The sequence below is a fragment of the Homo sapiens genome, chromosome 7, assembly GCF_000001405.40.
Source record: "Homo sapiens chromosome 7, GRCh38.p14 Primary Assembly".
Taxonomy (NCBI): domain Eukaryota; kingdom Metazoa; phylum Chordata; class Mammalia; order Primates; family Hominidae; genus Homo; species Homo sapiens.
The window spans coordinates 35,620,659-35,647,556 of record NC_000007.14 but is presented as its reverse complement, the minus strand read 5'-3'; the positions used below and the strand labels follow the sequence as shown (position 1 = coordinate 35,647,556).

The window sequence follows — 26,898 nt, the reverse complement described above, 5'->3', positions numbered from 1 at the left end:
CAGATTTTAAGTATTGGTGACTGTGTGAGCAAATCTATTTGCATGAAGACCCTGTGACTTCATTCAGTAAATGTTTACTTTAGAATCTGCTGTGTACTAGGCACTCAGGAGAGGAAAATGAATTCTGTACTTTCTCACTGAAAGTAGGTCAGATAGGCAAATGAATTACCATCTGCTGATGGGCTGTCATGGCCTCGAAAAAAATGCTGAGGGAGCCTGGAGGAGGGTGGGACTATCTCTGCTTGGAGGAGTGGGAAGGGCTTCAGAGGTGATAACATTTGAGCTGCCTTGAAGGGGGTTAATAGGGAGAATAAAGCAATCGCAGAGTCTTGAAAAGGAGGCTTCTGGGAACACAGTGGGGATTCCATGAGGTTGCTGCTTGGTCGCTTGTATGGAGTGGTGGGGGAAGCAAGGCTAATTTAACAAGTTTCCTGTGAAAGTTTGTTCCTGAAGTTTCCAGTTCCTTTAATCTCTTCTCCTCTGTAATTTTAACTTTTTAAAACCTACGATGATTGTATTTTGGTATAGCTTTCAAGTATATAATTGTGAATGACAGTCTTTCTCCTTCTTGGTTTTTTTTTCATAATTTCTAAGGTACTCCAGTAATTTTATGTGTTTCAGTGAATTTGCCTTGCTCCCTTTTTTCTGTTATTATCCTACAGTGCTAACTAGTATAGCCGATCTGAAAAGAAAAAAACAAGCTGTCAGAACTTCTGCCACCAGCTGTGATTTCCTCCAGCTTGTTTATTTCAGCTGTTTCCTCATTGTGAATTTCCTAGGGGCAGAGGGAGAAACCAGGTTATTATCTTACTCAGTTTTCCTTGCATAAAGAATATGACATTTTCTATGGGGACAGGCATATTACACATTCCAAATAGTTACATTTTCCTCATGTTTCTGCTATTTTATTTTGCTTTTTGCCAAAAAAAGAAGACAATTAATTTAACATTTTGTATTTTCTTCCAGTATGCTTGCTTGCTTTTTCTTTTTTTAAATAGATGGAGTCTCACTCTGTCGATGAGGCTGGAGTGTGGTGGTGCCATCATAGCTCACTGCAGCCTTGAACTTCTGGTTTCAACTGATCCTCCCACCTCAGCTTCCTGAGTAGCTGGGACTTCAGACATGTGCCACCATGCCCAGCTAATTGAATTTTTTTTTTTAGAGATAGGGTCTCGTTATGTTGCTTAGGCTGGTCTCAAACTCCTGGCTTCAAGCAGTCCTACCATCTCAGCCTCCCAAGTAGCTAGGATTATAGGCTTGAACCACTGTGCCCAGCTCATTATCCTTTACTTTGTAAATGTTTTTATTTAATATAGTTGAAATTTTTACTGTGTTGGTAACCTTACATGTTTTCATTTAATGTTGAATAATTAAGTGGAATTTACAAATTACTAGATTAAATAGTTGCTTATAATCAGTATTTTATTTTCAATATTTTCTTAATGCTCATATGAAGTTGTTCAAAACATATTTATTGTGCTAGATGCTAGAGATACAGTAATAATGGATAAAGCCCATTCCCTATTCTTAGGAACACAGAGACTGGTCAGAGAGACAGTAGATTAAACAGGCAATTTATTTTTAAAATTATTTTCTAAGAGGTAATACATGTGAGTGGTACCGTGTTCAAAACAAAACGAAACAAAAGTATGTAAGAGTTTCATTTCTATGTCTTACACCACTTGCCCTCCTTAGAGGCAACCATTATTAGCTGTTTCCCCTGTATTATTCTAGAGATAAAATGTGCTTACACAAGTATGTGTGTATGTGCGTGCATGTGTATATGTGTGTTTATTTTAACACATAATGGCATACTTTCTATGCAGTAAGTCCTCACTTAAAATCACGATAGGGTCTTGGAAACTGCAACTTTAAGTGAAACAATATTAACAAAACCAACTTTTTTTTCATTAATGTTATAAAAATATGACATTATTCCAGGACCTGTTATACATCATTTTGTTTAAAGTCACAGTTTCCAAGAACCTATTGACAATGGAAGTGAGGGCTTACTGTACACACTAGCCTATATCTTGTTTTTTCACTAAATATATTAACAACTGCACCACATTAATACACAAGAGCTGTCCCATTCTTTGTTTATATAATATATATTTTTTAGTTTTTATTTTTATTTTGTTAGAGATGGGATCTCACTATATCGCCCAGACTTCCCTGAACTCCTGGGCTCAAGCAGTCCTCCTGCCTCAGCCTCCCGAGTATCTATGACTATAGGGAAGCCCAGCTGTCTCATTCTTTATTAATTGCACAGCATTCTATTATACAGATTACTATAATTTAATGAACCAGTCCCTGCTGATGGATATTTAGGTTAAACAGTCAGTATTTTTATATACTGCTTTTTTATTTTTAAAGACTTTATTGTACTTTTTAAACATTCACAAAGTACAGAAGATATTGTAATGAACCCCAGTGCAGCTAATACCTAACTTCAACAATCAGCAAACTACCATTGTTCATCTAGTTCCCCTTCTGTTTCCTTTTTTATCCTTGGGCTAGAGTTTAAAACAAAACCTAGACCTTATAATTTTATCTGTAAACAGTGTGTATTTGTAACAGATATGGTAGCTATGGGCTTTAAAAAATCTTAATCACAATACCATTAGAAATCTCAACAAAATTTAAAAATCTTCAATATCATCTAGTATTCACTTTGTGTTCAGTTTTCCCTGAGTGTCTCAGATGTCTTTTTATAGTTATTTTGATTGAATGAGTATTTGAAGAGACTGACATAGTGCATTTGGTTGATGTTTCCTTTCTTTTTTTGTTGAGACAGAGCCTCACTGTTTCCCCCAGGCTAGAGTGCAGTGGTGCGATCTTGGCTCACTGGAACCTCTGCCTCCTGGGTTCAAGTGATTCTCCTGTGTCAGCCTCCTGAGTAGCTGGGACTATAGGCACACGTCTCCACACTGGCTAATTTTTGTATTTTTAGTAGAGATGGGGTTTCACCATGTTGGCCAGGCTGGTCTCCAACTCCTGAGCTCAAGCAATCCACCTGCCTCAGGCTCCCAGAGTTCTGGGATTACAGGCATGAGCCACTGCCCCTGGCAGGTTGATGTTTCTTAAAGCTTTTCTAATCTAATTCCCTTTTCCTTTCTTTTCTTTCTTCATACTCTTTCTGTAGTTGTTCTGTGTTATTTCCCACAGTGGTCTAAATATAGCTGACTAAGTTCTCATGGTGTCATTTAGCATTTTTCTTTATCCTATATTGCCTGTAAACTGGTAGTTAGATCTAGGGCCTGATTAAATTCAATTAAGGTTCATCTTTTTTTTTTTTTTAAAGGAATTATCCCATGGGTGGGTGGTGCTATGTATGTTTTAGAAAAAAGGAAAAAAGAATCATGAGTTCATACTGATATATCAAATTTAGGTTAAAAGTTAAAGAGTTTTCACAAATCATCTTTGGTATGTGTATTTATATATCTTCTATGCTAAAACATCCTAGTCCCTAATGAATTAGCATAATTACTTATTTGCTTTATTTGTATGTATATATGCTTATGTTTTTCAAATAGTTTTAAAATAGCAGTACTATTTCCGCTTTTGTAAGATCACTGAATGTGGTTTAAAACTTTCATTGTTCTTTTTGTATTTAGTAGTTACCCTACTAGGGATAGTTAAAATATTGTTTTGAAGTCAGTAGAATAATTCTCTGTGTGGTTATACTATTAAACATGAAACTTCTTTAGTTTTTTTTTTTTAACAGCTTTCTATTTTTTCTTTTTAGTTTAGTTTTTTTTAATTACATAAAACATTATTAGTGTTCCAGTGTCAAAACAAGATACATTCAGAGAGGCTTATTTTCATTTTCTTCACTCATCTTGTTCTCTTCCTTTCCATAATAATTTATTATTTTATTTTTATTATTATTTTTTCCATTGGTTTCTTTGTGGAAAATTCATGAAAGTGTGTGTGTGTGTGTGTACACACATATATGTATACACACATATAAATATATCCTCATTCTTATACAAATGTTATTATGCATATTCTTCTTAACATTGTTTTTCAACAAAATTTCATGTAAATATCTAAGAAGTCACTCCATAGGAGTAGAGAGAGATCTTCATTCCTTTTTATAGCCGCATACTAATTCATTCAGTGCATAAACTGTGACATCCAACCTCATATTGACAAATATTTGAGTTATTTGCAATCTTTGCTATTATAAATAGTGTTTGATGAATAGTTTTGTGGAAACATCCCTTCATGTTTTTGTTATATTTTGGCTTTGCTGTATTTAGGATAGATTTGTGTCTTACAGTAGGAATGGGCCAAAGTAGATAGGTCAGAGAGTAAATGTCTACATAGGTGTGCGGTTAAAAAGGCAGTTTCAACGTGGCGATAAGTGCTATGATAACATCCTCTATTTTTAAAAAAATTAATGAGCTATTGTCCCTGTCTCCAGTTTCTCTCTATTATTAGAGGACAGCAGGCTGGAAGTGGGAGTATGTATAAAGGTTTTATTAAAGGGCAGAGATGTGAAGTTTTTTTCCATATTTCATATTTCTATAAGCTAATTTTCAAAAATAGAATTACTTGGGCAGTTGGGCATAAGAGCAAAGCTTTTTGAAAAACTTTTGGGTTCACGGGTACACGGTCAGATTTGTTACATAGGTAAACTCGTGTCATGGAGGTTTGTTTTACAGATTATTTGGTCACCCAGGTACTAAGCCTAGTACCCAGTAGTTATTTTTTCTGATACTCTCCCTCCTCCCACCCTCCACTCTCAAGTACGCTGAAGTGTCTGTTATTCTCCTCTTTGTGTCCATGTGTTCTCATCATTTAGCTCCCACTAATAAGTGAGAACATGCGGTATTTGGTTTTCTGTTCGTGCGTTAGTTTCCTAAGGATAATGACCTCCAGCTCCATCCATGTTCCCGCAAAAGACATGATCTCATTTTCTTTTATGACTGTTTAGTGTTCCATGGTGTATATGTACTTTTTCTTTATCCAATCTGTCATTGATGAGCATTGAGGTTGATTCTGTGTCTTTGCTATTGTGAATAGTGCTGTATGAACATTCACATGCATATGTCTTTATGATAGAATGATTTATATTTCTTTGGGTATATACCCAGTAATGGAATTGCTGGGTCAAATGGTAGTTCTGTTTTTAGCTCTTTGAGGAATCACCACTCTGCTTTCCACAATGGTTGAACTAATTTACACTCCCACCAACAGTGTAGAAGTGTTCACTTTTCTCTGCAACCTTGCCAGCATCTGTTATTTTTTAACTTTTTAATAGTAGCTATTCTGACTGGTGTGATATGGTATCTCATTATGGTTTTGATTTGCATTTCTGTAGTGATCAGTGATGTTGAGCTTTTTTTCATTTGCTTGTTGGCCACATGTATATCTTCTTTTGAAAAGTGTGTGTTCATGTCCTTTGCCCACTTTTTAAATGTTTTTCTATTCTTTTAAAATTGTTTAAGTTCTTTATAGATGCTAGATATTAGACCTTTGTCTGATGTATAGTTTGCAAATATTTTCTTCCATTCTGTAGGGTATTTGTTTACTCTGGTGATAGTTTCTTTTGCTGTGCAGAAGCTCTTAAGTTTAATTAGATCCCATGTGTCAATTTTTGCTTTTGTTGCAATTGCTTTGGCATCTTTGTCATGAAATCTTTCCCCATTCCTGTGTCCAGAATGGTATTGCCTAGGTTGTCTTACAGGATTTTTATAGTTTTGAGTTTTACATGTAAGTCTTTAAACCATCTTGAGTTGATTTTTTGTCTGTGATGTAAGGAAGGTGGGTCCAGTTTCAATCCTCTGCATATGACTAGCCAATTATCCTAGCACCATTTATTGAATAGTTTTCCCATTGCTTGTTTTTTGTTAGCTTTATCAAAGATCAGACAGTTGTAGGTGTGCAGCCTTATTTCCGGGCTATTTTGTTCCATTGGTCTGTGTGTCTGTTTTTGTACCAGTACTGTGCTGGTTTGGTTACTGTAGACCTGCAGTAGTTTGAAGTCAGGTAACATGATGCCTCCATCTTTCTTCCTTTTGCCTGGGATTGCCTTGGCTATTCAGGCTCTTTTTTGGTTCCATAAGGATTTTAAAATAGTTTTTTCTAGTTCTGTGAAAAATGTCATTGGTAGTTTCATAGGGATTGCATTGAATCTACAAATTGCCTTGGATAATATGGCCATTTTAATGATATTGATTCTTCTTATCCATGAGCTAGAATTTTTTTTCCATAGAGCAAAACATTTTTAAAGGTCTTTAATTTTGTAATTGTGTTTTAACGGCTTATTCCAATTTATACTGCCACTAGCAATCAAAGAGTTAGGTTTTACCTGTACCTCTTGCCAATAATGGATATTTTTATTTAATCTTTTCTACCTTGGCAAACAAACTTAAAAAAGCTATCTTTGCTTTAATTAATAGTTGATATCCTAATGATTATTCTATCAGTTCTTTATATAGAAAACATATTAACTACAATTTATTGCAACATTTCTTAGCCATTTCTCTTTAAATTTTGTTGTCAAATATGTTGATTTTTTTTCTTCTTTCTTCTGTTACTTAAGTTAGGAAAGTCCTTCCTCCAAAGGGTTGGTAAATAATTCTAGTTTCTTCTAGGCTATCTGTGGTTTCACTCTTAATACTTTATTTCAGCTCTGTTATTTGAATATACAGAATGAGATGAAGCTTTTAAACTCCTTTTCCCCACAGATTTGATCATCTTTTTCCCTAGCATTAAATAACAGTTCTCTTTAACTTGTTGTTTAATGATGCATCCTCTAACATATATTAAATTCTTAAGTAATGTGTTTCATTGTATCTATTCCTATATATTTTATTAATAACTTTATAATTTAGCATCAGATCCTTTATTCCTTGTTTCTGGAGAATACCAAATGCATACCATCTTGTCTGAGGGTAATGAACACAACTGAAAATTATAGTATGTCCTCTTGGGCCTGGGATGTATTTGGCAATTATATCGTCCAGTAGTTTTCTAACTTATTAGGGAAAAAGGGAAGAATACTTGGGGAGGTTATTTATTTATTTTGGCAACATATTTTCAACAATCACCTTATATTCTCCATATGTTTTGGGCAGCATGCAGGAGGGTGACATGGGAAGCTATAACTTTTTAAAAAAGTAATGGTTAGTGGCTTTTCTCCCTTGAGCTTTAAAAACAGTGACAAACTCCAGCCTTCCCATTTTACAGTTGAAGTAACAGACTTGTTTGACATTCTTATTAATGATAGAGATTGGTGGAGATTTACTTTCAAGGGGATGGGTTTTTTCATAATGGGAAATACTAATAAAATTTAAAATATACATCTAGATACAGCATATTGCTGTAATACTTGATTTAGGTAGTTTTATAGATTTGCTCAGAGATGCATCAGCTCCCTGGTGTAAATGCTGAGTTGTACAAAACAAATGTTTTTAAAATACTTCTCTGCCTCAGTGGTATGGCTTTCTCTCCAGAGTTGCTCACTAACTGACATCTTTTTAAAGGAATAACTGGGTTGAGGTTTGCTTTTTTTGAGGTGGGGAGGTGCTGTGTCATCTGTTGTCCTGTGTCCAAGAGAGCTGAAGTTTTTTCCCCCTTATATAGGACCCTATATGAAGGAAATATATATAAAATATTAGGAGATTGAAGGGTCTTTTGAGGATGGGACCCTATGTGGCTGCCACTGCTCCATCAAGAATAAGGAAAGTTCAGGTAATATGTGGGGAAGGTGATGCCTTACCTAGCACCACGTTTCTTTAAGTATAGCCTGTTGATAAGGCTTAGCTCCCCAGGCTCTTCTAAGTTAGGTTTCTATAATCAATTATTACCAATTGTATGTGTAAACAGTCTTTAGAATATAAAATTATAGCTAATGAATTTATTCTTGTCTCACTCTGGATAGACCAAACTAGTATCAGCTAAAGATAAAAATCAAGTAATGTGAAGAAGAGTTAGCAAATTCACAAAGAATTGTGCATTTTCTTACCTGTTTATCTCTGTAGTTGTCTTGATATATGTGATTTTCTACAAATCTCACATTATACACTTTGGCATCATGTTCGGTGTTGGAATGGGGGAGAGTAAAAATAAAACTAGCTAACATTTCATGAATACAGGATAAGAATCCTGTGAGGAAGATTCTATTATTAGATCCATTTTAGAAGTGAGGAAACTGAAGTATGGAGAAGTTAAATGTGACCTTCCACAAGTTTTACTGAATTAATAGAATTTGGCCAGGCGCAGTGGCTCATGTCTGTAATCCTGCCACTCTGGGAGTCCAAGGCGGGCGGATCACCTGAGGTCAGGAGTTCGAGACCAGCCTGGCCAACACAGTGAAACCCTGTCTCTACTAAAAATACAAAAAAAAAATTAGCCAGGTGTGGTGGCGCGTGCCTGTAGTCCCAGCTACTTGGGAGACTGAGGCAGGAGAATTGCTTGAATCCAGGAGGCAGAGGTTTCACTGAGCCGAGATCACGCCACTGCACTCCAGCCTGGGCGAAAGAGCGAGATTCCGTCTCAAAAAAAAAAAAAGAAATAAAATTTTAACCTACTTTAAGAATGTATATGTGAACATGTTCTACTAATCTTGTCTCTTTACAGAATATTTTACAGGTTTTTGTAATGTTCTTTTTTATTTTACAGCTCATAGCTGCTATATTTTAATAATAGTTTATTACTAATATAAAATATCATTTGTCTATTTCACCATTCCCCAAAATATTTTGTCATGAAATTTATTTTAGGGCTTTGTTTCTTAAGGAAAATGTACTTAAAATGAAGGTATTTTTGGCTTCATGTAATGAAATGGGAAGATAATAAATGTTTAGATTGGATGTACATTTTGTGGTGTTTCTCTTTGTTTTCCCTTTAAAACTGGACTGAAATGTTAGTTATTCTATATAGTTGGGCCCTGGGTCAACTTATGTAAGACATATTGTCTTATTTGAAGAATCGTTGAAAGTAAGTATTTTTCTTTTCAGTGAGATTTAAATATATTCTGTCAATGGTTGACTTGGGGTTCAGAAATGAAAATTTAGAATAATACTTTTAGCTGCTAGAGCATTAAAAGAGCTCATTATTTATTTCTTGCAGAAATGTAGACAACCAATTTCCTGGGCAAGCTGCTCCACCTGGATTCCCAGTGTATCCCGCGTTTAGCCCACTGCAGATGCTATGGTGGCAACAGATGTATGCTCATCAGTATTATATGCAGTAGTAAGTTAATCTGAGTTCATTTTTTAAGTTACTCAGTGTGTTATTTGCTTTATTTTCTTTTTATCCTAAGTAAGTTGATTTGGCATTTCATTTGTTTATGTATTTAATGTTGTTTTGACTAAAGGAAAAAGGGTTCACCTCCAGTTCACATGAACTAACCCTGCCCTTGGCTCCTCCCTGTCTTCCCTAATTACATTTAGCAGTATTCAGATTTTTAATATAACATTTTATAAATTTAAGAGGAGAAAACTTAGGAATGTTTCACTGGAAGGCAGCAAATATACATGAAGAGTTAGTCAAATGAGTAAAGGAATAGAATCATGTCAGGGAGGCCATAGCTTATGTAGGGCTCAAGTGCAGCTAATATGCTTACTTGACTCTCAGTATTTAGTCCGTTTTGATTCTGGTCAGCATGGAACAGTCCTAGCATTGAGGACACTTTCTCAGCCTTCATTCTCCTCAACTCATTCTGCATTCATTTAACATGGATTAGCTTCTCTTTACCATTCTCCTCTCCTTGTTTCTGTGATTCTTTTGTCTTCCGTACCTTTTTTATCTTTCTGGTCACTCTTTCTGTGTCCTTTAATAGCTCATTTTATTAACATTTCTTTCTCAGTTCATCACGTATTTGTTACTACGTGCTTCTCAGCACTCATAGTCGGTAGAGAGGATGGGATTTAGTTGTTGGGGTAGTTCTCTTGGATTTCTTTTTTGCGTGGTCTTAGTTGTTAGCTCTCTGTGGATGAATCCTGGTTCTTCATCTCCTGTGCTTCATCCTGTGTCTCTGCTTTATTGTTGGAAGATTTCCATAGGGGAATGAGCCTTTACCTCAAATTCAGTACATCTAAAATTCAATTCCTCTGTTCTTTAAGTGCCTTCTCCTTTCTCACTTCTTCGTCAGTCATACTAGCTCTCTTCTTATTACTCAAGCTCTTAACCATAAACAGCTTTGATTCTGGCTTCTGTTATTCCTGAAAGCAGTATTTTATGAAGAGTTAATAGAGCTTTTGTCCTTCCCCATATGCTACCTCCAATGTTTCACCCAGATCTTTTCTCATTCTAAGTCCACTTGACTTCAATAGCTCTTTCTCCTTTTAGTCTTTTTACTGTATTTCCTTATACTGCTGCTGGGTTACATTTCTTTTATCTATCTATCTATCTATCTATCTATCTATCTATCTATCTATCTTTCTTTCTTTCTTTCTTTCTTTTTTTTTGAGACAGAGTCTCACTCTGTTACCTAGGCTAGAGTGCAGTGGCATAATCTTGGTTCACTGCAACCTCCGCCTCCCGGGTTCAAGCGATTCTTGTGCCTCAGCCTCGCAGTAGCCGAGATTACAGATATGTGCCACCACATCTGGGTAATTTTTGTATTTTTAGTACAGACAGGGGTTTTGCCACATTGGCCAGGCTGATCTTGAACTCCTGGCCTCAAGGGATCCATCTGCCTGCCTTGACCACCCAAAGTGCCGGGATTACAGGCATGAGCCACCATGCCCGGTTTGCCAGGTTACATTTCTTAACACATAATTAAGTCAGTCATTCCTGCAGCCACCCAGATATCCACTGATTCTCTTGCCCACTGTGAAGTCTACATCCTTGTCCTTCCTCCAGACCTTTCCCCATAAAGCTAAGCTGCTTTATGAACCTCGTATCCTAAGGCTCTCTTTCATAAGCCCTTGGCTCCAGACAGGATGTTCATACCTTACATGTTGCCATGGTAATGGTTATCATTTGAGTGACTGCTTTGTGCTCAGTACTCTGCTGGATGCTGTACCCCACCTTGTCTCGTTTGTGAACCTCACAAGAACTGTGTAAGATAAGGGGGGCTTATTATGCTTGCTGCTAAATCATATACTCTTATGTGCATCATTTAACTTGAGAGCCTTAGTTTCTCCCCTTTAAAGTAATGTAACTCACCTGTGTATCAGAATATTCATGAAGTAGGAAGTGTTTTCTAAACTAAAAAGCCCTATACAGGTACAAGGTATTAGCATACTGGCTTAAATAGGATTTTGTAGCCTGGGAACCACTTATTTAACTTTCTTGTGCTCTCTTGATTATTAACTTCTTATTGTAGAAAAATTTAAAAACATAACAAGGTAGGGTAGTAAAAGGAATCCATGTGTACCTATCACCCAGCTTTGACATTTATCAATTCATGTCAGTCTTATTTTACAACTTTCTTCCTTCTGTTGGATAATTTAAAGCAAATCCAAGATATATTATCACTTTACTAGGAAATTTATTCTTTACTGGGAAATTTTAAGCAATCAAATTATATAAGCAAACCTCAGAATCACAATTCTTTCTAACTTGACAAGGATCAGTGGTCCCCAGTTGGAGTTCTTCCAAATCAGTATTGGGGTGGAAGGGTTGTTATCTGAGATGTATTTAGGATTTTAGGATACTAATACAAATCATTTATCACTGACAGTAGACACACAGTATAATAATAGTATATATTTTTAGACAAGCCTTTCAAAACGTGGGTCTGAGGGAGAGGTAGGTGGTGAGCTTGGGAGTATTCATCCCATGTAGAATAACAAAAGGGGGCATTCATGAAAAGGTTTGGACATCTCATTAGCTGTTAAGGTAATTTATTGAAAGAGAGAGGAGTGGTTAACATGGCTGCTCTCACGTCTTTTGCCTTCCCCTGTCATCTTACAATAGCAGGCTGAGAGAACATCCTTTCCTGTGCGACATCTACCATCAACCTTGGCTCCACTTTTCCATTGGAATTTGTGCTTACCTAAGAAATGTGGTGCAGGAGTTGGGATATTCCATATTAGGTTTATGAAAAATACATATAGCTCCCCAAGAAGTTTAAAAAAATATGGTATGGTAAAGTTTTTTTTTCTTTTTAATATTTATTTTGGTGACTATTTCAGTCAAGCTGCAGTTTCAGCTCAGGCCACATCAAATGTCAACCCAACCCAGCCTACTACTTCACAGCCTCTAAATTTGGCACATGTTCCTGGAGAAGAACCCCCACCAGCTCCAAACCTAGTGGCCCAAGAAAATCGACCCATGAATGAGAATGTTCAAATGAATGCACAGGGAGGTCCAGTACTAAATGAAGAAGACTTCAATCGAGACTGGCTAGACTGGATGTACACGTTCTCACGAGCTGCGATTCTCCTTAGCATTGTATACTTCTATTCTTCTTTTAGTCGGTTTATCATGGTAATGGGAGCCATGCTACTGGTTTATTTGTGAGTGATGTTCATTAACTTTTTGTGGTTTAATTTCTGCAACTGTTCAGCACAGAATCTGGTGTAGGGTAGTCTGTTGTGAATGTTGAGTGAAGGAATATGAATGCTGGGCTTTAGATATCTGGCATGTTTTTGATGCCAAAAGCAAGGGAAGGTTTTGTTGAGTGAGAATGTTTATCAGAATTATTTAGAAGCAGATTTTTTGTTTACTGTATTTTATAAAAGTTGTTCATTCAGTGAGACATACTCTATCCATTATTTCGAACTTAACAAGTGTATGATGCACTCCTGCATAAGGTCATCCTCTTTCATTAGAATTACCAATAGTAAGTTCTATAGGTATAAGCCAGATTTTTTTCATAAGTAGACTATTTTTCCCCTGCTCCCTTCTCTCCAAGGGGCAAACAAATATCTAAGTTGTATTTCATTTTGAAAAGTACCAGAAAAGATTTATGATTCCTGATATGTTTTAATAACTAACATAGAGCCAGTGGAGTCCATGATAGACTTAGAGATTTGGGTTGGTTTTCTTTTGCTGTCGTTGCTTTGAAAAGGGTAGTTCCCTGTCCTGAAGTGGGAGATTTGGTCTTTTTATTTATTATAGTTTTAATCATTTTTCTCTTATAGGACACTAATAACATTTTATAGTGTTACAAATAAAAACAACTGTGACTTATTTTATTTTCTCTTTATTTTACTGAACAGACACCAAGCTGGATGGTTTCCTTTTAGGCAAGAAGGAGGTCATCAGCAGGCTCCCAACAATAATGCCGAAGTTAACAATGATGGGCAAAATGCAAACAACTTGGAACTTGAAGAAATGGTATGTGATTGAAGCTTTTGTATACTTAAGATACTGAGATTTTCCCAGCACGGTATGGGACCAACATGATGAAAGAATGTTGGATGTTCCATAAGTATTTGTGAAATGGCACATGAAAGAAAACTAACATATAAATTGTGGTGGTTTCATTTGGGAGAACTTAGAATATTATACTGAATCAGTCATATATTATAACTAAATGGGAAGAAGTAACTTTTTTTTTCTTGAAAATAGCCTAGAAATAAAATTATACACATGGTAAGAATTTATTGTATTGCATTGGCAGTTGTCCCCTTTACGGAACAGTGAGGAATTTATCAATTTTGGCCTTAAAGATTTCTAATGACCACATACATACCACTTCATAGTCCTTTGTTCTACAAAGAATTTAACTGTATTCTATTATGAGCTAATGCTCGTTCATATCACTCAGGAGTATCTTTCTTGTTTTGCTTGAAAGGAGCGTCTTATGGATGATGGGCTTGAAGATGAGAGTGGAGAAGATGGAGGTGAAGATGCCAGTGCAATTCAAAGGCCTGGATTAATGGCTTCAGCTTGGTCTTTCATCACCACCTTCTTTACTTCACTAATACCAGAGGGGCCTCCCCAGGTTGCCAATTGACCTGAAAAACTGTGCCAGCTACAAGGAGGGTCTGACTTCAGGAAAGTGGTTTAAATAACAGTGCAATTTCAAAAAAATTTATAACTTTCTTTTGATCATCATGTACAGAGGTGTTTTTTTTCTTTAGGCTTCTCATGCATATGAATATTTTAAGCACGAATGGACTACTAAATATCTGAGTTTTTTTTTTTTTTTTTTAAAGATCCTAACAGAACATAGCGTAACAATATTGGTCTTCCAGGTGTTACTCATTTCAATTATGTGTAGTATACCAGGACAGACCTATTTTCATGTCTTATTTCTTTAAAGAGCTGCTTCATTGGCCGGGCGCCATGGCTCACGTCTGTAATCCCAGCACTTTGGGAGGCCGAGGCGGGTGGGTTACTTGAGGTCAGGAGTTCGAGACCAGCCTGGCAAACATGGCGAAACCCCATCTTAACTAAAAATACAAAAAAATTAGCCGGGTGTGGTGTCACGCGCCTGTAATCCCAGCTACTTGGGGGGCTCAGGCAGGAGAATTGCCTGAACCCAGGAGGCGGAGGTTGCAGTGAGCTGAGATTGGGCCACTGCACTCCACCCTGGGCGACAGAGTGAGACTCGGTCTCAGAAAAAAAAAAAAAAGAGCTGCTTCACATATAAATGTCTATAGCTAGTAGCCTGGCCCTTTAATGTTTAATTTGAATAGATATATCTGTTTTCCGTGAATTATCTTGAAAGTTTTAAACAGAATGACCTCATAGTTTTTAATAAAGAATATTATTTACCTAAAATGTGCTAGTAGCATCTTGCCCAGCCATAAAGCAATAAACTTCTCAATAATCTTAATTTTGATATTTGAATAAATAATGGAAACTTTCTGTATTAAGGGCATGTATCCCATCAATTGGAATCAGTACCTTAACAGAAAAAGGCAGCTCTTCAATGGAATTAACGTGATATAAAATGTTTGATATAGGCAGTACTTTTATAAAAAAAGATAAGCTGGAAATTGCTCCGTGTAATTTTTTAAATAAAAAGTCAATTATGGTAAACAGTTTTATGGGATATTTGTTCAAACTCTTCACCCATTACATGCAAACATTTATGTAAATTTTAGTAGTTGTTTGGAAGGGTTGCTGAAGTCTTAAAGGTCATTTACACCTCTTTCCATTCCAGATGGATATCTCCTAGTTAGATTGAAACCTCATTAGTTTATTTAAAAATCCCTGTGAAAGCCAATTTAATGTATCATGAGAAGGCAGTAAGTTTCTTATGGGATAGCTAAATAAAACAAATATGTGTGGGAGAACTTTATATCACATGAAATACATTATAAAATTATGAATGTGGTAGTGGCCCAGGGGAAAAAATATATATATATGATTATATATATATGATTATATATATGATTTATATATGATTATATATATATGATTATATATATGATTTATATATGATTATATAAAAATTTGTATATTTTTATATAATTATATATAATTATAATATATATTTATATATATAATTTGTATATATTTATATATAATTTATATATTATATATAATTATATATTATATTTATATATTTACATATAAATATAAATATATAATATATATTATATAATTATATATATTTATATGTAAATATAAATATAAAAATATATAATTATATATAAATATATATTATACAATTATATATATAAATATAAAAATATATAAATATATATTATATAATTTATATATATTTATATATAATTTATATATTTATATATTTATATATAATTTATATATTTATATATTATATAATTTATATATTTATATATAATTTATATATTTATATATTTATATATAATTTATATATTTATATATTTATATATAATTTTTATATATAATTTATATATAATATATATATATAATTTATATATTTATATATAATTTATATATATAATTTATATATTTATATAATTTATATATATAATTTATATATTTATATAATTTATATATATAATTTATATATTTTTATATAATTTATATATTTATATATATTTATATATATAATTTATTTATATATATTTATATATTTATATATATAATTTATATATTTATATATATTTATATATGATTAGATAACAGTAGAAGATTAAGAAAACATCAATAAATTATTTTCTGATTTGTTTACTTACAATGATAAAAGTGACATTATCAGGGATGACTGCTTAGTTAAGCGTTTGAAAAGTAAAGTTAGATTTCTATTTATAAATTTCAAGACATGATTGAATATGAACAATCAAATCGTGGAAATACTAAGAAAATGTGGGTGAATATATAACATTGGAGTGAGAGAACACTTTTATGGCAGAATCTTTAAAGATTGCTGAGTATATAATGTTTTGACATAAGTAATTTAAAGGCAAATAATTAGAGCACAAAAGATAGAAAAGGTAATAAATGAAGTCTTAAATTCATTCCAGTAAAAAATAATTTGTATCCAGTAAAAAAAAAAAAAAAGCACTCCAATAGGAAATGGGTAATAAAGATGAAAAAAGGTAGTATCCAGTAGTTAAAACTACCATATTCTTAAGATGATATTTAGTGTTGGTGAAACTGTAGGGGAATGTAAAACAGAATATAGCCTTTCCAGCAAGTATCAGATTTTCAAAATGTGCACAGATCATTCACTGTCATCCTCTTATTCCTAGAATACAAATCAGACTAATGAACATGGCTTACAAAATCCTGAAAGGTTGTGCTCTCGCCTCCTGTCAGTTTGAGCTCCTCCTTAATTCCTGGTTTAGCTAGGCTGCTCTTCCAATTCCTGCACCTTCCAGCCCCGGACTTTTTAAATTGCTGTTCTTTTTGCTGCAAACACACACAGTTTCTTCCTTCTTTGCCTCACTAGCACTAATGACTCATCAGATCTCAGCATAATTGCCAATTCTTTGGGAGGCTTTTCCCTGGAAGCACAGTTTATTACTTTGCCTTTAACACTGTTGCAGTTTACATTTATTTCCTTGTTTCTCTCACCATATAGAAGGGATGAAGTTGGGGAGAACCTGGTATTTAGTTCAGTCCTGGATGAGTGCCAGCAGAAGTTTGAAAGGATGTCATGCATGTGTGAGATTTAGCTTTCCAGATATTCATTGCATTGTTGGTTACTAGGAAAAAAATCAGAATTAGCAGATGTTCAGCAGAGTGAGCTATGGCCACATTTGAACACTGTTTGGGTCCATGATTAGGGATGGCTTATTTCAAGACTGATGTAATTATTGCATCCAGAAGAAAGGTCTGGATTTTAACCTGGGAGCTAAATAGATAAACTATCAAAGCTGGCAGAAATGCCCCATGGGTCAGAGCCTAAAGCCAGGTACAGGGTGGGGAGAGGATGCAGAGTTAATTGTGAGACTGATCAGTTTCATTTCTGTTGGAAGTTGGAGAGAAGATAATTGGAGCTGTAGATCTCACTGGGGGTGGGCAGCATTGTGGGGACACCCCTCTGGAGGAAATGAGCAAGTCCCTGCCTCCTAGCAGCAGGGTGGGGCCTAAGGAGAAAGGTCCTGGTTATAAACTCCTGTGAAGGGATGTCACAGGTTCTAAGAACACTGAAATGCGTGAGCCACTGTTATTTTTCCTACATTGTTAATTCCCTTCTGTTAGCCTCACATTCATTAAGTCTTTGTCAAGAACTACAGCCCAATGTGAGCTGTGTTTTGGATGATTCAGGGAGGGACTGTGTCCATACTGGGGCCAGATGGTACCTAGGTGGCTGGGGTAATCCAAACACTGGTCTCAAGGCCAGATTGTGACTAGTAACAACCAGGATATATGTTTCTGGAATATAAACACTTCTAGGACTTCTTACATTATTATACATTACCATAAAGACTAGACCTACAGTGAGAGGGTCAGATTTATGTTAGATAGGTAAAAGAAAAGGGTGATCTGGAGGGCTGGAGAATTGGAGACATTCACATCATACTTTGGTGACATAATTAGATGCCACAGCTCACCAGTATTGTAACTATTTTCCTTGGCTCTTTCTACCATCGCTATTGAAATTAGGCTTTTCAAATTAGTGGCAGGAAAGGCCATATTTGGAGCTTCAAATACACAGTCCCAGTGGCAGTTCTTGCCTCTGTGTTTTTTTGTTGTTGTTGTTTGCTTGTTTGTTTTGAGACGGAGTCTCACTCTATCGCCCAGGCTGGAGTGCAGTGGCACTATTTCGGCTCACTGCAACCTCTGCCTCAGCCTCCCAAGTAGCTGGGATTACAAGCGCCTGCCAACACGCCCAGCTAATTTTTGTATTTTTAATAGAGATGGGGTTTCACCATTTTGGCCAGGCTGGTCCTGAACTCCTGACCTCCTGATCCACCTGCCTCGGCCTCCCAAAGTGCTGGGATTACAGGCGTGAGCCACTGCGTCCGGCCTTGCCTCACCGTTAAAAGACTACAATATGACGTGATACATCAGCTTTTTCGAAGTCCAGTGTACGTCAGACCCTGAGGCCTGCAGTATCTGGAATGGTGTTGCTGGATGTGCAAAACTGCCAGGCTCTGGCTTGTGGTGTTCTCATCTACCAGATCATTCCTGGGAGGCCCAATTTGGCCAGCTGGCTCACCTCTGCCGGTGGTATTGCTAGCATTGCACATTGGAACTGCAGCTTGGGAAAGTGATAGAAACCAAACACATGGTGGGTACAAAGCAAGTTTGTTGTATTTTATCCACATTAGTATTTTGGATGTTTCAATATTTAAACATTTCAAAAAGCAAAATCAATGATAATACTTCTTGAATGTGTTGTGAACAATGCAAGCCTTTTATTAAAAATTATGGAATATTCGAAAGAAATGTTTTTCTTACAAGAGAGCAGAGAATAATTACTCAGGGTTCCTGTGTCAAAGCCTCTAGGGCCCCTTTACTGTCCAGAATTCTTAGTAAGTGGAAAACCTTTCCCAAGCACAATGAAGTCTCAACCCTGATACGGGCAGGACAGCAAAAGACCTGTCTCCTCTTTCCAGAGCAAACCCCAGTGGTTGCACCTGTCCTCCCATTACACTTTGGGGATAAACCCTGGAGGCCATAGTGTAGGGGACCAGTTTCATGGGTCTTGTTGCCAAAGCTTACTTTTTTGATCCTACTGCTAAATTCTGACCCTTCCTCCAATTGATCTGCTTTCCAAAAAGAGCATACCAACACCTGCACAAACCATTTGATGTGGTGCAGTAAGCTGTTTCATCCAAGTGTTCCAAAGCCATAGGATGAGCAAGGGGGAAAAACTTAGACCTGTATAGGATCTTCCCCCAGGTAGTTACTCTTTCACAGGGGGTGCATGGGAGACAGGCTGCTGTTGTGCCATCCTTTCCATTACATAATGATAACAACTGTTACTTGGAATGCTTTAATGCTTGATGTTATTTATGTTTAAATATTTGCTGTATTCCTGGCTCTGTGCTAAATGCTATGCCTGCATCTTAAAAAATCCTTAAAATAACTCAAGGTAGGTACCATTGTTGCTTCCATTCTCCAGATGGGACACTAAGACTTTAAGAAGTTAAATAGCTCACCTGAAAACACACAGCTAGTAAGTAACACAATGGAGACTTGAACCCAAGTCTATTCTACTCTAGACCATGGACTCCAAGATTAATTAATTATGCAAATAAGGAATGTGGAGAGTTCAGCCTTGAGCAAAGGGAGATTAGCTTGTTTTGCACCAACTCTTCTGCTGAGGAAAGGACAAAAGCCAGAATATACATACCTATTCAGGGATCAGAGGGCTGTTGAGAAAGCAAGGGCTAATATTCGAGAGACCTACATTTGATACTGTTCGTTTCCCCCTCAAGGGACTTGCTAATTCAAGGGCAGGGGCTGAGAAACTGAACAGAATTTGTAGAAGACTAATGCAGACCAAAAATTAGAGTTGGGGTCCAAGTAGAAGCAGCCCTGGAAAACACCCCAGACTTTCTCGTGGGACCCCAAAGAGCTACTCTTTGATTAAAGGTGAATTGGTTATGGGCCTGTCCTCACAAGGACTGAAGCCCAGCCTCAGATCTAGTGGATAGCCAGAAGCAAAAACAAAGCCCCTCTGAAGGAGGACATGGTCTAATTTCTCAAATTTTCTCTATTAATTGTTTTCAAAGTCTGCTTAAGAAATAGGAATGCAAAAACACAAGATTCGACCAACAATGAGAAAGTGAACAATAGAAACAGACCTCCAGGAAATTCACGTAGTTAACATTATCTGACCGGTGTCTTACAATAACTATGATTAAAATGTTCATGAATTAAATGACCAAATGGAACAACTTCAGGAGAGAACTGGACACTATGTTTAAAATTCTAGAATTGAAAAATAATATAACAATTTAAGAAATCAGTAGATGGCTCTGATAGACACAACTTAAGAGATAGGTAATGAAATGAAAGATAAGAAAATATCCAGACTGGTGCTGGGGGTAAATAGGAAGACAACTATTCGAAGAGTTAATGGTTAAGGTTGTTCCCAAATTAATGAAAGACATTAAGCCACATAAATAAGAAATGCTGTTGACCTCTAAGCAGGATAAGTTACAATGAAAGTTATACTTAATTACTTCATAGTAAAACTACTGGAAAACAAAGACTAATTTTAAAAGTAGCCAGAGGAAAAATATATATTACTTTCAAAGGAGCAACAGCAAGCCTTGAGAGGGAATTTTCAGCAGAAGTAATGATAGTGGAAAATGGAATGGTGTTTTCAAAGAGCTTCAAGAAAATAATAGTCAACCTAGAAGACTATGAGGCAAAAATATCCTTCCAAAGACACGTCCAGACAAAGGAAAATAGAATTTGCCACCAATGAAAAGTACCAAAAGTATGAAAGGAAAGTACTAAAGGGTGTTGTTGGAGCAGAAGGAAAATGATCACTGACCACAGCTGGAGGTGCAGAAAGGCATTGAAAGGCAATGGAAAGGGTAAGTATGTGTATAAAACTAAATAAATATTGAATGTGTGAAACAACTTTTTACTTTCTGGGGTCTTAAATATATAAAGAACTAAAATACATCACCAAGAGAAGCACGTTAAGTGTGGAGGGAGGTAAATGTAGGGGTCCCCAACATTTCTGGCACCAGAGACCAGTTTTGTGGAAGATAATTTTTTCCCAGACAGTGGGTGGAGGGGTGGAGGGATTGGGAGCATGGTGTTGGGATGACACTGTCCCACCTTAAATCATCAGGCATTAGATTCTCATAAGGAGTGCACAACCTAGATCCCTCACATGCACAGTTCACAATAGGGTTAGCGCTCCTATGAGAATCTAATGCTGCTGTTGGTCTGACAGGAGGTGGAGCTCAGGCGGTAATGCTTGCTGGCTTGCCACCCATCTCTTGCTGTGCAGCCCAGTTCCTGACAGGCCACTGACCAGTACTGGTTCACAGCCTGGGGACTGTGGACCCCTGGGTAAATGGAATTAAAGTATTCTGAAGTCCTTGAATTGTCTTGAAAGTGAAAATGGTGGAGGCACTGATTTATATTAGAAATTAATAAATCAGGGGTACATGTTTCAGTTTCTACGGTATTTTGTAAAAGAATAAGAGTATGTAAAACTAACAAGATAACAGAAGGAGAATATGAAATAAAATAATCCAAAGGAAGGCAAAAAGAAAAAAAGGCGCATAGAACAGATGGGAACAAATAGAAAACAAACACCCACATGCATCAATCTCTACATCAAGCATATGTGGACTAAATATTCCAATTCAAAGGCAATATTATTATCACCCTGGATAAAGAACAAATATAATTCTCTGAGACTTAAAAACAACATACCTTAAACAAGGATACAGAAAGATGGAAAGTAAAAGGATGGAAAAAGGACTATCATGCAAGTATTAACCAAAAGGAAGCTGGTGTATTTAGTACACGAAGTGAACTTTCAGGTATTACCAGAGTATGAAGGATATTTCATAATGATAAAGGGCTTGCTTTACCAGTACTATACCGATGGCTGAGGTATTTGGGCTGTCTGTGAGGCTCAGATGGGCTGCCTGTGGCCCTGCCTCACCTTGGAGATGGCCCAGGAAGCTAACTGAGACTTGGAGTTGGTCGAAGAGGAGCCAGACTCTAAATATTTGAAGATTGTGTGCGTATGTGTGTGTGTGTTTAGGGGAAAACATGAGAGGTAGAGTACTATTCAAAAGGACAAGAAGTGGAACATTTTCTTTTATAAATCAAATAAATGGTGGCTCTGAGCCTTCCCCCACCTCCTGCCTTTTTTGGGTCCAGATTGCTAAGAAATGTTATTAATGATAGCTCACACTTACGACATTATTGCCTTCTAAGTGCTTTGTAGGTATTAATTTATTTAATCCTCACAACAGCCTTAGGAGACAGGCATCATCACTACCATCGCCATTTTACAGATGGAAAAACCAGCAACCATCAGAGCTGGTATTCAAAATAAGCCAATTCAGATTCCGAGTCCCGGCTCCTAACCATGGAGTGGCCTCAGGGTTTTATAGTTTGTCCGGCTCTTTGGATGAACATCACACCTCATGGAGGAGAGTCCCTTCCATTTTAACGGCTCCAGGTTGTCATGGAAATCCTCTGTATACAAGAGGGTAAGGAGGAGGATGAGAAGCAATACATGCTTATTGGGACTTTCTATCATCCCAGGACTTATCCAGGTACATTATAACAATGTTGAATACAGTATTAGTCCCATTTTAACTATGAGGAAAATAAGGTTTGGACTGTCAGAGACAGAGCAAGACACATTGGTAAGGGCAGACAAGGGATTCATCTGACTCCAATGCCTCTTCCTTGGTAAACCAGACTGGCTTGTCACACCGTGAAATTAGAGTCAACTTGTTAAATCTTGACAGGTTGCTAAATTATTAATTACACCCCCAGGAGCTGTGACTGGAGCAGCAGGGATGCTATGGCTGCACTGTACTATTTTTAGCACTAGATGGTGCTGTAACACTGCACATCTCTTCCGCGGTGGCCCTTGGAGGAAGGTTACTTCAGGGCTTGGAGACCCTGGAGGGAAGGATGCTACCTTACCAGAGCGTGAAAAAAACATGGAAGACAGGATACTCTCGGGCCCTGAGAAAGCTGGAGACTGTAGCCACCAGGTGGCTCCAGGATGTGCAGTACTGGCGTCTGGGTTTTGCTCACACAACCGTGAACTCCTGGTCCCACCGAGCCCTAGCGAGTGGATTGGAGCACACACCCACCCACCTCCTCAGAGCTCCTACGAGTAGAGGAGGTACCTAGGCACGTGGGAGCTTGGCGCCTTGTTAGGTGCTCAGGATACTGGTTGTCCGGAATCCCAGTGAGGTGCAGTCCCGCCCTTGTGCCACTTTCCCATGCGCTTCCTGCCCCTCTGGGGGCTGCAGAGGCTGCAGAGTTGTCCAGCTTGAGAAACTGTATCAAGGTTGCTCCCTGACGGCCTGGCAACTCGCTGAAGAGCTGCCTTCAGTTCAGAACAGTTTTAGGGAGATTGTCATAAACTCAATGAGTTTAAATGATTTTACACTGACTCTTCAAAAATGTCAAGGTCATGAAAGACAAAGGCCGAGGAACTGCCCCAGACTGGAGGAGGCGGGAGACATGGCAGCTGTGAATGCACCGTGGGTCCTGAACCAGAAAAAGGAGCTCAGTGGGACGATTGGTAACTTTTTGATGCAATCTGTCGGTGAGCTAATAGTATTGCTTCGATGTTAATTTCTTGGTTTTGATCACTGTACTATAACTATGCAGAGTGTTAACATTTGGGGAAGCTGGGTAAAGGGTATGTGGGAATTCTTTGTGCTATTTTTGCAACTTTTCTCATCAAGTTGGAAATTATTTCAAAATTGAAAGCTAATAAAAATTACAAAAATGTTCTTAACATTATTATGGAATATTTCAAACATATAGAAAAATATAGAGAATAAGCCTGGCCACTTTTACAGGTGGCTCAAAGGTACTGTTGGCACCAGACAGAGGAATGAAGTTCCTGTAGGAGTTAAGCATTGAGCTCTGCTGTCTCGCTTTCTGTGTCCAGAGGTGGCTCCTGGTAGTTGAATTAGACCATTACATTTTGGGCAAGAGCTATTTAAATTTTTGGCAGCCTCTACTTTAGAATAAATCAGCAGACAATCCACCTCTATGGCCATAGTATTTGCTTAGTAAGATAACACCTTATTCCAACGCCCTACTTAGCAATTCTCTTGGGAGACTTTTTTTTTTTCCAGACCTTGTCTTTTATTACAGGGATCTAATCATTACTGTCTAAAACAAAAACATATAGATAAAGATGGCCCCAATTGCTTAATGCTGCTTTTGATATTTTTCTTTAACTTCTTTAACTTTCAAAAATGAACTTTTAATTTTAGAACAGTTTTAGAGTTTCAGAAAAATTGCAAAGATGATACAGAGTTACCATATTCTCTGCAGCCAGTTCCCCCTATATTATCAGCTTACCTTAGTAGGGGATATTTGTTGCAATTAATGGACCATTATTGATACATCATGATTAACTGAAGTCCATACTTTATTTGGATTTCCTTAGTCTATCTAATGTCTCTTTTCTGTTCCAGAATCCCCTCCAGGATTCCAAGATATCACATTAAATTTAGATGTCATGTCTATTTATGCTACTCTAGGGTGTGACAATTTCTCAGATTTCTTTGTTTTTGATGTCCTTGATATTTTTGAGGAGTATGGGTGGAGTATTTTTATAGGATGTCTCTTGATTTGGGATTTGTCTGATATTTTTCTCATGATTAAACTGGGGCTATGTGTTTTTAGGAGGAAGACAACAGGGGTAATGTGCCATTTTCGTCATATCATATCAAGAATACATAGTATCTCTGGGCATGGTGGCAGTCCATAAAAATTAGCTGGGTGTGGTGGCAGGCTGCTCAGGAGGCTGAGGCAGGGGAATTGCTTGAACCCAGGAGGCAGAGGCTGCAGTAGGCCAAGACTGTGCCACTGCACTCCAGCCTGGGTGACACAGCGAGACTCCATCTCAAAAAAGAAACACATGATATTGACCTTCACCACCTGGCCACCTGGTAGTATTTGTCAGGTTTCCCCACTGTAAAGTAATTCCCACCTGCCTTCCACACTGAGCTCTTTGGAAGGAAGTCACTGTGTGCAGCCAAGAAGGAGCAGGGAGTTATGCCTCACTGCTTTGAGGATGGAGTATCTACGTAAATTATTTGGAATTCTTCTCTATGGAGGGATTTATCTCTTGCCTCCCAATTATTTATTTATTCAATCCATTTATTTGTGTTAGTATAGACTCATGGATATTTATTTTATACATTGGGTTTTAATCCAATATGACTTTATTTTATTGCTAAAATTGTTTCAGCTTTGGCCATTGGGAGCTCTTTCAGGTGGCTCCTATGTTCCTATTTAATTGCTGTATAATAATTGTACATATTAATGTGGTACATGTGTCATTTTGATCCGAGCATATAATGTGTACTCAAATCAGGGTAATTGGGATATCCATCACCTCAAATTTATCATTTCTGTGTGTTGGGAACATTCCAAATCTTCCTTTCTTGCTATTTTGAAATACACAGTAAGTTCTTGTTAACTATAGTCATTGTACTGTGCTATCAAACACGAGAACTTATTTCTTTTATCTAACTGTATTTTTGTACCCATTAACCAACTTCTCTTCCTGCCTCCCCCTCACCCTTTCCTGGCCTCTGGTAACCACCAATCTACTATCTTCTTGAGATCCACTTTTTAGCTCTCCCATGAGAGTGAGAACATGTGATATTTGTGTTTCTGTGCCTGATTTATTTCATTTAACATAATGTCTTCCTGTTTCATTCATGTTGCTGCAAGTGACAAGATTTCATTCCTTTTCATGGCTGAATAGTACTTTATTGTGTCTATATGCCACATTTTTTAATCCATTCATCTGTTGATGGATACTTAGGTTGATTCTACATTTTTGCTATTGTGAATAGTGCTGCAGTAAATATGGGAGTGCAGATATCTCTGGTATACTGGTTTCCTTTCTTTTGGATAGATACCCAGTAGCAGGATTCCTGGATCATATGGTGGCTCTATTTTTAGCTTTCTGAGGAACCTCCACACTGTTTTCCATAGTGGTTATACTAATTTATATTTTCACCTATGTGTACAAGCTTGCCCTTTCTTCATGGCCTCAAGCATGTTATTTTCTGTCTTTTTGATCATAGCCATTTTAACTGGAGTGAGATGATATCTCATTGTGGTTTTGATCTGCATTTCCATGCTAATTAGTGATGTTGTGTTCCTTTGATATATCCCCATCATTGAGACTTTTCTTTTGAGCACTTGCTTATTTCCTGGCATAATAAGATGTTCCAGGCTCATCTTGTATATTTTCTGCTCCAGTGCTAGAATCAGCCATTTCTCCAATGAGCTTTTGGGAGATATTTGCTTTCTTGATTACAGTTAGGATTTTCTCATAAGGGAAGTTTGTTGATGGCCTGCAAACAAATAGTAAAATAGTATGTGATGTCATGAAAATTAATTGTATTTTTCCTTCTAGATTTTGCATATAGAAGACGGTAATTTTAAAAACAGTGAAAGAAGAAATGTATCTGAGAATTCAATCAGTCAATAGACTTTAGAGTGAGTATGATTTTTGTGTGCTCAAAGGCATCTTTTCAGTTTGGCTTTGTAAGGTTTCATTTTTTTTTTGGTAGGAAAATATAAATAAAAGAGGAAGGAGCAGGGGAAGTGGAAAGTCACCTGCAGGACCAGCCATACCCGCTGTCGCTGCCCTCATGGCCTAAGGTGTCTATAATAGCGTCAGTTTTCTTTTTTTTTCCTTTTTTTTTTTTTTTTTTTTGGTTTTTTTTTGAGATGGTGTCTTTCTCTGTTGCCCAGGCTGGAGTGCAGTGGCATAATCCCAGCTCACTGCAACCTCCGCCTCCTGGGTTGAAGTGAGTCTCCTGCCATGGGCTCCTGAGTAGCTGGGATTACAGGTGTACACCACGATGCCCAGGGAATTTTTGTATTTATAATAGAGACGGGGTTTCACCATGTTGGCCAGGCTGGTCTCGAACTCCTGATCTCAGG

The 26,898-nt window shown here is 37.0% G+C and overlaps 1 protein-coding gene and 1 long non-coding RNA gene across 11 annotated transcripts in view; both read left to right on the top strand.

Annotated features, from left to right (window-relative positions):
* The window catches only part of HERPUD2 (HERPUD family member 2), a 62,477-nt gene extending 47,579 nt beyond the window's left edge, over positions 1–14,898 (top strand). For 4 of the 5 annotated variants that reach the window (NM_001438070.1, NM_022373.5, NM_001438071.1 and 1 more), the window contains 4 exons: positions 9,085–9,207; positions 12,099–12,422; positions 13,128–13,245; positions 13,706–14,898. In NM_001438070.1, the coding sequence (NP_001424999.1) occupies positions 9,085–9,207; positions 12,099–12,422; positions 13,128–13,245; positions 13,706–13,867 (727 nt within the window). In that variant the 3' untranslated portion in view covers positions 13,868–14,898. Of the gene's footprint in view, positions 1–9,084; positions 9,208–12,098; positions 12,423–13,127; positions 13,246–13,705 lie in introns of those variants that run through there. The other variant, XM_047420699.1, reaches the window with a different exon arrangement.
* Positions 14,899–15,931: 1,033 nt separating this feature from the next.
* The window catches only part of LOC101928421 (uncharacterized), a 37,633-nt gene continuing 26,666 nt past the window's right edge, over positions 15,932–26,898 (top strand). For 2 of the 6 annotated variants that reach the window (XR_007060285.1, XR_007060284.1), the window contains exon 1: positions 15,932–26,448. This is a non-coding gene — a long non-coding RNA (uncharacterized LOC101928421). The remainder of the gene's footprint in view (positions 26,449–26,898) is intronic. The other 4 variants (XR_001745169.3, XR_242157.5, XR_927172.4 and 1 more) reach the window with 4 other exon arrangements.